The 16,493-nt window shown below is 38.3% G+C and overlaps 1 protein-coding gene across 19 annotated transcripts in view; it reads left to right on the forward strand.

Moving 5' to 3' along the window:
• The window catches only part of NPAS3 (neuronal PAS domain protein 3), an 869,389-nt gene that overhangs the window by 783,182 nt on the left and 69,714 nt on the right, over positions 1 to 16,493 (forward strand). The gene's annotated exons all lie outside the window — the stretch shown is intronic.

Raw genomic sequence — 16,493 nt, forward strand, 5'->3', positions numbered from 1 at the left:
TGCAATTTTTGGAATACCTGCTTTTGTAATGGGTTTTTTTTTTTTAAGTGAGTACCCAATACATGTTGATTCATGCTTTTCCAGTTTTGCAGGCCTGGGGAAAACACAGGTCTTTGGCACACGCAACGCCAAACCAGCAGCTGCTGACTTGCAAACTCAAGCTACGATGTGGTTATAAGAATAGCGTTCCTGTTCTTTTCATTCTTCTTCTTCCCCTTATTTCCTTAATGTGCCTGGGTTCTTGTTTTGTCTATTTTGTTGTCACTTTGTCTGTGTAATTTTTATGTATTTTTCTCATCCCTTAATCCTTTGTCTTTATCTTGTCCGTCTTCTCTAGTTTCTTTCTTGCTACCCTACATCTTTCTTTTTCATCATTTTTATTCCTTGCCTAATTCTCCTTTTTTGCATTTACATTTTCTCATGTTCACATTTATTCTGTACCATTTTCTAGTAAAACCAGTGACTGTAAACTTTTCTTACTATCTTATAGTCAGGTTCGTGACACCTATCCATTTCTGAAATTTATCAGCCTAGAAATCTGTTATCCAAAATCATGTTGATGATAGCATAAACTGAAGTATTAGCTCACACCTGAATTTCAAGAACAAGGTAGTAACGTGTGTATACATAGATTATTTTTCCAGTATTAATCAGATTCACATTTGATATGGTATCACAGTGCCAGGTACCTCAGAAGCGCTCAACAAATGTTTCCTGGTCAAATTTAACTTACATTTATCAAACTTTACCTCCACGTGGATTTATTTGATTGTACAACCTCCCGAAGTTAGGCAAGTCACATAATATTACGCCCTTCGTAGGGAAAAGGGAATGGTTGTTGAGGAGATGCATAACTCACACAAGGCTGTAAAGCTGCGGCCAGGTACGGTGGCTCACACCTGTAATGACAGCACTTTGGGAAGCCAAGGCAGGAGGATCAATTGAGCCCAGGAGTTCAAGACCAGCCCTGGGTAACGTAGCAAGACCCCATCTCTACAAAAAATACAAAAATCTAGCCAGGTGTGGTGGTGTGCATCTGTAGTCCAAGCTACTTGGGAGGCTGAGGTTGGAGGATTGCTTGATCCCAGGAGGTCAAGGCTGCAGTGAGCCGTGTTCACACCACTACACTACAACCTTGGTGACAGAGCGAGACTGTAGAGCTATCCCCAGTTGCTAAGCCTGGCCTACGACACAAACTTCCCAATTCCGTGGCATATGTCCAACTCCCATGGACACTGCTGCTCTCCATATCTGTGGTCATCATCCTGTCCAGTGGTACCCCTGTTGTTATTCCAGGATGGGATTTGCTGCTCTGGGACCCAGCAGATTATCGAGCATTGCAATTCTTTCCTGTTCCTTGATCCACCCAGTAAGCCTAAAAACAGATGTCAGAAATAGCTGTGGAGATATTAGCAATACCAACTACAACCATGAAAGCTTACATTTACTTGGTGTTTATCACGTGCCAAGCTAAGTGATTTACATGGATTAGTTCATATATTCCACTGTAAATGTTTACTCAAAGCAAATACATTAGAGCTTTCTAAATACAATATATTTTCTAAATACATATGCTATATATGCCTTACCAAACAGTGCCAAAACTGTCTAACAGAGAAAATATATCCACACATTTAAAGAGAAAAGAAGCGGAGTCTTAAGGAGATTAAAACAAAATGGAAGTTGAACCAACAAACCTGGTTCCAAGCCCTTTCCTTCTCTTCAACGAGTCACCAGCCTGTACCATTTGCCTTTCTGATGGACTAGTCTCAAACTCACACTGAGCTAGTGACATTAGGGAAGTGAACCGTCATATGGTAAAGATTGTCTTGCTCTTTGTCCTCAATGCTAAAGGTCTTCTTTCCATAGAAAGGCACTCTTTCTTCTCAAGGTATTTGCAAAACCTCCTCGTAAGACCCCTCCTTGTTGCCTGTGTTAATTGTCGGGGCATCATTGGCAGATAATAACAGAATTTGGGAGTTTTATAATAAGAAAATAAAGAGATTTCATGTCTAAAAAAAAGAAAAGCTAGTGTAGAAATTACATTAAGAGGAACAAATCTCATTGCCAAATATAAGTTCCAAAGAAGATAGTCATTACAATAATAATATTGTTATTACCAATAAAAGAGAAAAAAAGCTTAGTTGTAAGTTCATCGAAAACTTTCCCTTTTGTGCTGAGTGATTCTTCTCTAGAGCCTCCCAGGAGTACAAGGCTATAATTTTAATTATATCTTGGCATTCTCATAAAGCAAACAGCCTGCTCAGGTAGTATTTATTACCTGTTAGGAAGAATACTTATGAATATGCTTCACAGATTCCAACTGCGGTGATCAGCAATGGGCCTTTTCAAGGACAGAGGGGTGAGTTGGAACACACATAAGAGAAAAGTTGCTCATTAAGGGAAGGTTTGTTATCCAGGAACGTATAATTAAGGTGACGGTCCCAGCTTCTGTGACAGCCAACACTTGGGTAGTTGTTTGATTGCTACGTGGGTCAGGGATCAGCTCCTGCTACAAGATGTAGCCACATTAGTGTGTTAGTGAACAGGTTAGAAAGTAAATTACAGCTGCCTTTCTCAAGCACATTACTGTCAGTCTTCATTGTATTGTTTTTACTGTACATCAGCAGGACTGTGGCTTCTGAAGACTTTGTGTGACAGGTTAGGCATTTTATCCTTTGAGTAAACAGTAATCATGGTGTGAAGAAAGTGGGGCATTGGAGAATTTTTCCTATTCTTTGAGAATTCCACTCTTCCTTTTTAGTTTGCTCCAAGGGCTCATTGGGGATACATATATTAAGCCCTTTAAATAGTTCATAATAAATCTTTGTCTCAGGCTGATTCTGACAGTTTTTTAAAGAGTCTTTTAAGAGAGAATCCTCAATCATTTGTTAATCCATGGGGTGATCTTCAGACTTCAGGAAAAAAAATAACAGCCTGGGCTCTTGGGTAGTGAAAATACAATGTAGGGAAGAAAATATATAAATATGGAAAATCCTGCGATTACATGTTCTGCATGTATCTAAATGCTTCTTTCTTCCCCAACAAGCCAAAAATGAAGTAGAAAATAATTGTCAAAATAGCAGGAATTTCTATTGTTATTTTTATATTTTTGAACTTACATGCGTCTCCTAAAATGTTAGACTTCAAATCATATAAGAGAGAATACTCTTTTTTAAAGTAAGTGAATTCTTTTGGTGGAAAGATAATTTCTTTTCTTCCTTTCTTTCACCTTTAAGACCACCTCTGTCTTCCCCTAAATTACTTACATACACACTGCTATCTTACCTGGTCGGGGAGAGGTATTCTGTTAGAGAAAAGGTTGTAGATATTGGTTGTTGGCGTCAACAACAAAAAAACTTTGAAGGGCAAGACATAGCTTTCAGAATAAGGGCCTTTTTAGGTTGGGTTTACATATTTTACTTTCAGCTTTAGATATGGGCTAGTTGGTCAATTATATTAGATGTTCATAATTTAAAGACTATGACTTGTGATTTTAGCATGCGTAATTTTAACACCCCAAAAAAATCACATAAAACACTTACCAGAAGAGACTAAAAGCAATATTGTCTCCCATGCAGACAGTTAACATTAGTAGTAATCATAATACCTGTGTATTATTTGCACAATGAATCGAAAATATTTTAAAGGGAAGAAAAGTGTGCTCTATGTCAAGTATTTTATGTGTAAATCATTGACTATTTCAAGAAAATTTATTTAGGTTTCATTTTGCTTGTAACTGAAACGATTAAGAAGGAAACTAAAGAATGCAGGTCATAGATTTGAGTAAAACATGAGGATAAGCACTACGTATATGATCTGAACCTTTACGTCATTTCCAAAATGCAGCTTCTCAAGCTATTGAAAAATACGGAGAACTTTACTAATGACATGCAAATGGAATTTGTTAGGGATAAATGCAATAATAAAATGGAGAAATGGGCAAAGGACAGCCTACTGATACTGATGGATTCATTCTCACGTCAGGTCGAATAATTGAAGACCCCAGAACAAGGGCAACCATAAATACCTGGAGTCCCTGCTGTTGAGAGGATTAACCACAAAACAATTATGACAAATGCAGTGGGAGCATTCAGCTCCCAGGCAACAGGAATGTGTCATGCCAGTTTTAAAAATACTTATTTGGCATTATAGAATATACCATTTAGACCCAGAAGCCATCCAACATAACATCGAAGTGTTCATGGTAAAAACATCAAGTATGTCATTGGAAAGCTATATTTGAAGAGATCACTTCGTTTCATGAAGCAAGAAAAAGGGAAATAATTAATATCAACAAATTTGTTTTGCCCATGGTTTGAGAAAACGCTGCTTCAACCCCATTTTCCCCATCACCATCAGCAATATCCTTTACCTTTTTTAACTTAAGGAAAGGGGGGGTAATTCTAGGGCAAGAATAACTGCAAGCTATATAAATGGATTTTTTTAATGACTGCTTTTTTATCCCCTCCACTTGGGAAGATTATTCATAACCTTGAAGAAAATATACAAATGACCTAATGTCGAGTTCAGATATGGAAATGATGCCTACACATATAGTAGCTGACCAAGGTTATAATGATGAAGCCTTGTTTTAAGGCAGAGCTACTTCTTGCAAAAGATTAGATGACTTTGTTTAGGTATTAAGATGGAGCAGTGGTCATTGAAACTTATTAGGATCATGAGAGAAAGGAAAATTAGCTTAATTAAAGATGTCAAAAATAGAGATTCATTAGCAAAATAACAGATATAGATAATTATTGGGTTATCTCTCATTTCTGGCTTCTCTAAATTATTACAAAGTATAAATAATGTTACTAAGAATATTCTCCAATAAATAACCCTCAATTCTTTATTGATGATGGATTTAATATGGTACTTCTAACTAAAAACATTTGAAAAATAACCATTTCAAGATGTGCTGGAATTGAGCCATAATAAAACCAACAAATCCTAGCTGCCCAGTCAAATTTCTCCTATGTGAAAAAAATTAATTAACAGAAGATACTGATTCAGGAGATATTGTGGAGACCTGCCAACCTGAGACTCCTTCTATCTCCAGAATATACACATTCACACGGGAAAATTAAAATTGGCCATTGTGTCAGACCCCATACCTAAGATGGCAAATTTGAAAAAGCCACATCATCACACCAGATTTTACTTGAATTCTCAATAATTGCTTAGTTCTGTAGTACCTTCCAGTGACAAAGCTCCAGTCACTCAGCATTCACTCCATTAAAGAAATGTATCTTGGGCCAATCTTCTAAACTCTTCCATTTGTCATCCCTGTTAAGCATAAGACTGCACTCATGCAAAACCCTTCCTCTGTGTCACATTAAATCTTTATTCTTCTAGGAAAAGGGCTGCCGGATTTACCAAATATAGGATTCCCCATTCAATTTGGAATTTATATGCAATATTTGGATCATACTAAAAAAATCATTTGTTGTTTACCTGAAATTCAAATGTAATGGGGCATCCTGTATTTTATTCAGCAAGGTTAATTGGGAGTAAACTCTCCTTAGCCACTAACTTTTCTACAAGCCTCACGTCTGCCTCTTCACCCTCACTGAGACCTTTCTTTCTTGGAAGCCACTACTCTCTAACCCTCTCCAGTGCAACTGTCCAGTTCGGAGTCCTATGTCCCTGAATGTCCCTGTATGAAGGAGAAGTGGTCACCATGCACTGCTTCTGCTGCCACTTCCACACCATTTCCCTAGGATCTTTGCTTCAATACTTCCTCTCAAAAAAAAAAAAAAGAAAAGAAAAGAAAAAAGAAAAGCATTCTTTCTCTGTTCTTAATGCCATTGTCTATCAACACTCACATCACTCCCTGAACTTCCTTCAAGATGTCAGCTCATGCTCCACAGCCTTCCTGTGTACCCCTCAGCTCAAGGAGGCAAACGGATGTCAGAATGAGAGTTTCCATGAAGGGTAACCATTCAACACAAAGTTCCTTGACTGCCAAAACTTAAAAATATATATATCCATTTTTTTACCTTATCTTTAGCACGCGTAGCACGATCAAACCTTGGGCTTTAACCAGGCTTCATTTTCAAAATCTCAAATACCTGTTAAAAAATTTGAGCAAAAGTCACTTGGGAAAAAAATGTATAGACTACTCAATATAAAATTTTAAGACATATGCATTTATGTATATCATAAACAAAAGTAAAAGGCAAAAAAATGGGATGTATTTGCAAGAAATATGTCAGAGTTAATATCCTTAATATATATGTAGTTCATTCAGATTGATCAGGAAAACACTAAAAACCCAATTAGAAAATAGAGAACATAAATATGTGATTCATTTAAAAATTCAACTGGCCAGTAAATATGTATTCAAACATAATCCATCCTCAATAGAAATAAAAATGCCAATTGCCAGGTGCAGCAGCTCATGTCTGTAATCCTAGCACTTTGGGAGACCAAGGCAGGTGGATCCCTTGAGCCCAGGAGTTCAAGACCAGCTTGGGCAACATGGTGAAACCCTGTTTCCTCAAAAAACACAAAAAGTAGCCAGGCGTGGTGGCGCCCACCTGTAGTCCCAGCTACTCAGGAGGCTGAAGCAGAGGATCACCTGAACCTTGGAGGTCGAGGCTACAGCTAGCTGTGATTGTACCACTGCACTCTTGCCTGAGTGACAGAGTGAGACACCAATCTCAAAAACAACAAAAAATGCATATTAAAAACATGTGAGATGTTTTTACACATTTCTTATCACAGAGAACCCCGTAAATATCGTATCTGTTATCTTCTGGTAATTTAATGTTTTCTCTCAAAAAAAAAAAACAAATCTTTAAAGGTGGCAATAATATGAACACCATTAAATATTACTGATAGACATGCAAACTGGTACAGTGCAACTTTTCTGGAAATCAATTTGTCTGTGTGTATTAAGAGCTTTTTTAAAAGCTCAGCCCCAGTCATACTCATTCTAGAAATTCATCCTAAGAGATAAGAAAGTTGAAAGATTAATTTCAAAGAAATTCATTACTATGCAATGAAATATTGCACAGCCACTAAAAAATAATGTGTTTGAAAGTGATGTAATAATACGGACAAATACAGATACTGTAATGTTCTTTAAAAATTTGTTTAAAAAAACTGATTTGCAGCCAAGGCCCCTAGAACCCCAACATCCATTTATTCCCCTAACAATGTCTAATAAAAGTATGGTTATTACCTAATGTAAATGACGAGTTAATGGGTGCAGCATACCAACATAGCACATGTATACTTATGTAACAAACCTGCACGTTGGGCACATATACCCTAGAACTTGAAGTATAATAAAAAATAAATAAATAAATATAAAAAATAAAAGTATGGTTATTACCACATAGTAAGCTATGACTTTTTAACATTAAAAGATTAGGCAGACACAGGTTTTATCCCAATTTTGAAATAAATTTATCAATAAATGGTAAATAAGATTGCGAGAAGACACATTGGGGTTACTAGTGACTATAGCTGAGTGATAACATTATGGGGATTTTTTTAAATTTTCCTATTTATACTTCATGTTTTCAAAATTTTCTCTGGACATATCTATTTATATAAACTTTTTTAAAGCAGTAAACAATATTCTCAGAATTCACCCTCTGAACAAAGCCCCTACTGCCTACCTCTCTCATGTCACCATACTCCTGTCCTGCCATCCTTTGCTAGTCTCCAGCTCATCATGTCATCAGTTTTCACTTGCCTCTTAACCCTTTGGAATCCCTCACCCTGTTGCCTTTCATTGCCACTGTCCTGGCTCCCATCTCTAGAAATTTAAGCCAGGCAACTTCTAGCTACTAAATAATCTTAGTGCTTATTTTCTATCAATCCCAGGTGGTTTCCCTACACAGGCTGTTTCATGGCTTTCTTTGATCGCAAAACCCTGTCCTTCTTCCACTTCCTTTATCTTAGCAAACAACTTTATTGAAATTTATTTACTTTATTGAAGATAAGTTGTTCAGAACCATTTCTGTCACACTCCTGTCTCTCTCCCTCCACCTCCCACTTTCTCTTATTCTTCCTCTTTATTTCCCCCATTTCAAAGGCTCACCTCTCCTTCTCTGTTCCTCATTCAATATCCATTAGGGTTTAAATTCTTTAATTAGCATTTCCAACTCTAAGCTCTGGCCTCTCCATCAGTAAACATACTCAAGTCTCTATTTTCACCCCCAAAATTCTCCAAAGAGAAATGTATCATTTATTCACTGTATCCTTATCCCACTTTTTGACTGAAGCTGCTTTCTCTGGAGATCTCTAAAGACTTGCCAATACCAGTGGGTACATCTGAGAGCATTGGACACTCTGATCAATCATGCCCATTAAATATTTCCTTGGTGGCCTATATGTCAAGTCATACACTGAAGGCAAATCACTCAATCTTGGACAAAAATTCAAAAGATAACTTCTCTAGAATTTCATAGTCACTGCTGCATAGCTGTCCAAATAATAGCTTTCTGTAAAGCCTTTTACCAATCTGGAGCCATAAATTTACCATAAGAATCATGAGCACGGAGATGGGCGTGATTCCTTCACCCAGACGTCCATGACTTGGTCTCCTCTGAGACGCCACCATGTCAGAGAGGCCCTTGTGACCACCCAACCAAAATGTGGCTCCCATCACTCTCTAGTCTCTTACTCTGTGTTATTCTTTATAGCATTCATCACCACCTGAAATTATTGTATCTATTTTTGCTCCTCCTCTAAAAGGTAAGCACTGTTATGAATGGTCCCAGACCACTAGTTACTCAGTAACTGAACGAATAACTGAACAAAGAAAAAGTGAGCTATAGTAAAACATTTGATGTGTGCTTACATGGGTTTAATCACAACATTGTCTTCTAGGGTCATGTGCTGAGTGAGGGCAAGAAGTTCCAGGGATAGCCAGAAGAACAACCTTTAAAATAGTAGAAGGTGCACGCTCAGTCCACATGCCTGCACGTGGAGAGTGACACTTGCGTACCAATGGTTTGAATCACTGCCTGATTTTTCACCCTGTGCTGTAGAGCAGTTCCTCATCACACGGTATTGTAGTTAGTAATAGAGCTTTAAAGCAAGGAAAAGGCAGAATGCATGTGTGTGTGTTTGCAAGTGCCTCTGTAACCAGACTCCTCTATCTAACTCCGTTTTAAAATACCGTATGTGGGCAACATCTGTGCCTGAGATGGAGATTTGGCCAGAATGTTAAAAAAATAAACATGGCGGTTCAGCTGGATACTGGCAACCAGCTACCGCCCCATGGATGGCCGCAGAGAAGATTCATGTATATAAAATAGTATATTAAAGTAAACTTACAAAAGCAAAGAGCAATCATTGCAACCATAATTTTTTCTTCCTCTTTGGGATTCTAATTTTAAAAGCATTAAAGGAGACAGCTGCTCATGCTGTGATATGCGCTAAACAGCCTGAAGGATAGAAAAAAATATATTTGTAGCTCATAATAACTATTGACCTTTCTGATATACAATGTTCTCTGTGTTAGCTATTCGGTTCTATCAACAGTGAAGATTGAACATGACTTTTTAATAGAAAACATGGGGTTTCGAGCTGCCTTCACAAAGGTGTTTATGTATTGTTATTTTGTATTGTAGTACAAAGACTAAGTCCTGATGCCCTTTGTCTGACATGATGTTTGTCATTAAAAAAAAAGAGAAAAGAAAAAGAAAAAGAAGGAAGGAAATAAAAGAAATAGAAAGGGGGGAAAGCCCTCAATGTTATTGACTGTGTTTTTATATGAAGAATTGGCTCATAACCACTTTATAGTTGTGATAAAAGCATTGCCACACTCGATCCCATATGCAATATTGGCAACGGAATCCACGCAGCATCGCAGGAGGACATGCTATATTTTTCTCCCAGAATAGATCCCTCAAGTGGCAACATTTATAGGGAGTTTCCAATAAGATTTAAAACACTCACTTGCAGTATTCATGTGGCACATCCTTTGGAGTGCACAGCCTGCTGCAGAATGGGTCATATTGGATACCATGTACTCTCAAAGGCGATCTTTACGATACTCAGTTTTTCCCCCTTGAACTTTCCCGTTGCTTAGTAGTTGTGTATAGAAACACCCACTGGTAGCAGCTTGACTCTGACACTGTGTATATTTCCCCAGAGTGGTATCATCCAAACACCAACTGCAGAGCAGCAGGCAGCCAGCAAACACTCTCTTCTCCCTCAGGGGACAGTCTCACCAAGTAGTAACCCCTGCCAGGAGCAAGAAACCTGAAAGGCAACCTCATGCATTACAATTCTCATTCGAGACAGGCCAGATAGTCCCAGGGAGTTTATGGTGACAGGTGGCATTGGTTGGCAGACTATTATTTTCATATTTTAGGTGGGTTATTTTTAACGTTACTGTTAAAGAAGGTTATTACATCATTATTGAATCACAATTATTTTCACAGCTATGCTCTAGAGTTTCAGTTAATGATTCACAAGTTTCTAAACAATGCTGAAGACTCACAACTGGGTAGGGACAGGAATCAGCCCTAAGGAGATTTAAATATATCAGACACTTTTGTTGGACTCCAGAGCAAGCATTGAAGCTGATAAAGTCTGACTGCTGAGCCAAAGTATAGTGGCTGCAACTGCATAGTCTGCAAAGGGTGGTACAACTTGTGACTGCAGAAAATGGAAGGCACTGCCTCGCCACCAGTAGTCAAGGATCACACTCTAGTATACTAAAAGCCGTTACCCGCTTCAGAATTGCCCTGGCACATGGTAGAAGACAGGCCAGTGGGATGAAAACCAACTCTCAAAAGACAGAGAACAAAGTATTCTCTAATTCTGGGAGAAATCAGGCCAACCCCCCTTTAACTACCAAACCCACTGGCCTAGAACTCTCAAAAGAACACTTTGCAGAAAACACTTCCTTAGAGATGAATACAAGGAGAGGATTTAATGATCCCCTCCTTCAAGAGAAAAAGCCTTCTTGGGACATGATATTGTTTGGTGTGTGAGAGAGTGACAGGGATAGAGTGAAGAATTCTTCTTAGAAGAAAGTATCTGAATGTCACTTTATTTTGACACGTGTAACTGAATGCCTACTTATATAAAGCACAATCCTAGGCACAAGGAAGACTGGAGAACAGGAAAGAGAGACAACAAAAAACAAGTTAAGACATCATTCCTTTCTTTCAATATCTTTCTTACAGTCTTGTACATGGCACTATCGATGACATCTTTTGCAAATTTCCCATTTTAAAAAAGTCAATTGGGCATTTACTTTTGAAAATATAGACCCTACTTATAAAAGTCAATATTTCAGGTAGTGTGCCCTACACATGTAAATTCAACCAGTTATGGACACGCTGGGCCACATAGTTTTATCCATGAACATGATCGTCACGTATCCAAAAAAGGCTATGATTTTTCCAAAAAGAGGTTCTACATTAATGCTATATGAGTTGTCTGGTATTGGATAACAAATTACCCCCAAATATTGACGGCTTTAAAAAAGCAAAGATATCTCGCATAGTTCCTTCAGGTTAGCGATCTAGGAGCAGCTGATCTGTGTAGCTCTGGCTCAGGGTCTCTCATGAGGTTGCAATTGAGATGGCAGCCGGAGCACAGTCATCTGAAGGCTCACCTAAAGCTGGATGATCCAGCTCTAAAATCACTGAAGTGACTGTTAGTAGGAAGCCTCAGTTCCTTGTTACATTGGCCCTTCCATAAGACTGACTGCCTAAGTGTCGTCCCAACGTGGCAACTGGTTTCCATCAGAGTGAATGACCCAAGAGAGCAAGGAGGGAGCTGCTGTGCTAATCACACACCATCGATTCCACCATATGCTCATTATTAAAAGCAGGTCACCAAGTTTAGCCCACACCAACTCGAGGGGAGAAGTAGTAGCTCCACCTTTTAGAAGGAGGAGTTTTGAAGAATTTGTAGCATTTTAAAACTACCACAGATGTCATCCTGGATAAACATAAAATCCTCTGGGATAATTTCTATGAGAAAGATTTATTTTTACCATGCTTGTCCTGCTTTTCGGAAACTAGGTTGGGAAGATCTTATTAAATTCACTATTTAGTGAATGTTAGTTACTATATATATACAGACATACACACATATATAAATAGACATATAATAATAATATACCCAGAATAAAGATTCTATCAATATATAGATGCAGATATCTGGATACCTGTATAAAAGGAGCCACACTAAGTGCTATACAGCATCAAAGTTAGACTCATCTTAGCCCTGCTGCCCTCAAATATCTAGCAAAAGAGATTAAATGGAGATAAAATAAGTACATAAATAACTGTAAGAACAGTATATTGGCAACCTCATGACCTTTGGAGTCCGACAAACATTTGTCATATTCTTGCTCTGCCCCTAGCTGGGAGAACTTGGAAACATAAATGACTCAAAGAATAAATAATAAAGATTTTGTATTTGTGTTAGTCAGTATGGGCTAGCTTAATGCTACAGTAAAAAAAACAGTCCCCAAATTACAGCAAAGATTTATTTCAATAAGGATTGGCAGGGGTTCTGCTTCACATTGTCTTCCAAGACTCAGGCTGGTGAAGTTGTTAAAAGTCACCAGGACACAGGAAAAGAGAAAGCAGCACATCATGACTGGCTCTTGAAAATTCCACCTGAAAGTGACATGTGGCTTTTGCTCACATTCATTGACTAAAGCAAGCCACGTGAGCATCCCTAACTCCGTGTGGCTGAGGAAGTGCAGTCCTCTCATGTATAAGGAAAAATTTTGCAAGGAAAAAACCAACTTGTCAAATCCCAGTGGATACATACTCATTCTAAAGTCCTAAACTGCATCCATTTCTAGCAAGGCTGACAGCATATGCCAGTGGAACAATCTGGCTTTATCAAGATCATTGCAAAATGAACCAACACCTCTTTTGCCTTGTTAAAGTCATTTTGGATAATTGCTCTTTAGTTCGTCCTGTGTGCACAGAACACCTAAAAATGAAAAGATTCATTTAGGCAATGATGTGGGAAAAGAATGTGTTTAACTTCATGTCTTAACAACCTATGGCAACTCCACTTCTCCTTTAAAAGGAAAAATACCTTACTTACTTTTGAGGAGTAACATTTCTCAAAACTTTTTTTTTCTCCCTCACACATCAGGATTTGGTGGGGGCTGGAGGGTTCTGACACTTTAATTACAGTGAAAACACTTCAAGTATACTGAAAAAGAAAGGTTCTTGGCTGGGCACGGTGGCTCACACCTGTAATCTCAGCACTTGGAGGGGCCAAGGCTGTGAATCCCTGGGCAACATGGTGAAACCCCATCTACAAAAAATACTAAAAAACATTTAAAAATTAAAAAATAGCCAGGTGTGGTGGCACGCACTTGTGATCCCAGCTACTCAGGAGGCTGAGGCAGGAGAATCGCCTGAGTCCAGGAGTTTGAGGCTGCATTAAGTTATAATCACGCCACTGCACTCCAGCCTGAGTGACAGAGGAAGACCCTGTCTCATTTGAAAAAAAAAAAAAAAAAGAGAGAGAGAAAGAAAAAAAGGCCCTTTTTAAAGGCATTGGCTTCATACTCCTACAGAGACCCTGGAGAGAATACTGAAAGTGTTCCAAACAAACCTGGCCCTAGTTTCAGCCCAGTGAGAACTAGGTGGCTCCCAGACACCTCCTCTTTCTGCCTTCTTTACCGCCTCCTGCCCCTACATAATAACAAGGGGAACAGCAACCACACCACCAGCTAGGGAATCATGAACAGATGTGGAGTAATTCAGATATCATTTCACATTATGGTGGCATTTGCCAACATAAAAATTATTACTACTTTTGCTGTAAATTTTCCTGTAAATTTTACAAAATATGCAAAAACTGACATTTCAAGAGCTGAGATAATTTAGGTTTATTAAAAAGTTGAGACCTTGAGATTGAGCCAAATAGAGTATATTTCTTTATTTAGCTTTTAGTTGTGTAGGTCTTGTTCTTTTTTTCAGCTCCTAGTTTATAATTCATAGGGCAGAGCTGGGCGCAACTGGGCTTTGACCACTTAATCCAGCTTTACCCGTAGATTTTTCCTGTGTCTCAGGCAGCAGATACAACTTCTCTAAATCCCAGATTTCTTATCAGAGCATGCAACAATTATGAGCTGCCTCAAAAAGTTGACAGAAAAGCATTTCATGTCTAGAAAGCACTCTAAAATGCTTCTTAGACATAAACTGTTGCCACTGTCTTTATAGAGCACTATTCCTAAGGAGGCTTTTCTCACTATTCCATCTTCTCATCCTCTCTTCGCCTCATCCCACACACATGCACGCATGTGCACGCACACACACACACACTTTCTCTTCAGTGCCACAGTGGGGTCACACACCACCAAGGCCGTGCTGCCTTGGATCTCCCCCAATAGAACCTTCATCAAAATCACGCCTCTCACGTGAGACAGTTCAAAAGCATCTCTTCTAAAGCTGCTGCTCTCATCTGTCACATGCAGATAATCTGTCTTTTCACATGAGAGACACCATTGTCACAGCTGGGATAAACCAAGTGTATTTGCTAGCTCTTGAGAACCCATGGCCATGGTGTGTGAGCTATGAATGACTTTATTATAATAAACGTGGCTCCTTACTTGTGCCCCTGTCCTCAGAAGTAGGAAGTCATATGGAATTTCAGTAGAAATTGTCATCAGAAACCAGTCTCTTTCTGGGTTGCCCTGTCTCCTTCTCTTGGACTCTCCATACCACATGCTCTTGAAATAAAGCTTGAAGACTAGTTTTGATTTTAAATATCAGCTTCACTGAGGCAAAACCGACCTTAACACTCCCCGCTTACACCGGTTGTCCTGGGTATAATTAACGTTGCCCCTGTATGTTTAGGCAATTACTGTTGCAACATGTGGTACGGTGCCATACTCCTGCCTCATTCAGGGCACGATGCCGTGATTGGCTCCACAGCTCACGTGAAGCTTGTGTCTTCACCCAGCTGGAAGCACCCATGCTGTGGTCTCTAATGTACCCTCTAAGTGTTTTACTGTGCAGTTCTCCATATAGAAAACAATGATTTCTCACAATGCCTGCATTACCCACCCTTTCTACAAGTTTGGTAGTTCCTCCCTTACTGGGTCAGGGGCTCCAGGACCCCAGCGCTAAAACAGGTTTCACTTCTCTGGGAAGCTTCATTTTTCCTCATCAATTGCAAACATGATCTTGCTGAACAGAGCTGAATTTTTAAGGCTGAGTTTGTGGTGTGGTTCTGATGGCTTCACGTTAGTTCAAGTCTCTGAGGACCAGTGCCAATAAATGTGAAAGGAACAACAGTAGATTGGTATACTTTTCCATTTCCACCAGGATGAAAAAAACTGCTATAAATTAAGTCTAACCTTAAATGTATAATCTGTCCTTGGGAGGAAAAAAAAAAAAAGGATATAGCATCTTCAAGCTCTCGGCATCCCTTACGAGAAAAAATTGGTTCTAAGGGTCTCTGATCTTGTGTTTTAGTAAAATAGAACTGCACGGCTGACTGACAGTTCTGATCTAAAGCATTTACGTTTAAGTTTTGATCTCTCTGCTTTTGATTAAAACTAATGAGCTCATTTAATTCAAAATGGGAATCTCTGATAAGAGAAATAAGGTTGATGTGATTGGATTAGAGGGGCAAATTAAACTCTTAGAGCAGAAGTTTGTGCTTATATAGTGTATTAAAAAGCTGTTGGCGTATTATGGCGTGTTAGATGATGAGAAAAATTTCATAGTAATTCATATTTAATCAGAAGAAATGAAAGTACTAAATATAACATGGCTCTGCTTTTCCCTCGAGTGATAAAAAGCTGTACATTTAAAATGACATCAGATTCATGCTCTCTAAAACAAAAAAAAAGAGGAAAACCTTAAGAGAGACACATAAGAAAGGGACACTTGTCAGTGATTCCATCACCCCAGAATAGAAATGCCACAAAAATAGGAAAACATAGTCATGTTAAGATAAAAATGATAGAAGAAAAGCCCCAGACCACAGATAGCAAGGTTTCTGTTATTACAGTAGCTCTCATTCTTCTTTCATCTGAGCACCAAGTTTAATATGAAAAAGAGATTACTCACCCTTAGAAATATATGGAATGCATTTCATACTTCAAATTTAAAACTTGTTTTGCCCATTTTTTTCTCTTGTTAATAACTGTTTTCACATATACTTAATTCTTAAATCTCTTTATTACACATATTTCTTTGCCCTTACTCCAGAGAAAATTAGCGTTAGCATACGACTACTCGAAAGAAATCCTGTTTCTTGGACAATTTTTTTTTTACTTTTGAATAAGAAAAACTTAAGAAGAGTATAAATTAGAGTATTTGTTAGGCTTAAAAACCCCAAAATTAATTTCTTTGCCAGAAAACACTTAAATTTATAAAATACCTTGGAAGCTTGTTTTTAAAGAAAATAGATTTTTACGTTGCCTTCTGACCTGTTTGCATAAAGGTGTTTTTACATCAGCAAGACGGCAAACTACCATTTTAAGTTTCATAAGCAAAAACATTCTACTTAGTCTAAAAGTACAT

Source organism: Homo sapiens, chromosome 14, assembly GCF_000001405.40.
Source record: "Homo sapiens chromosome 14, GRCh38.p14 Primary Assembly".
Taxonomy (NCBI): Eukaryota; Metazoa; Chordata; class Mammalia; order Primates; family Hominidae; genus Homo; species Homo sapiens.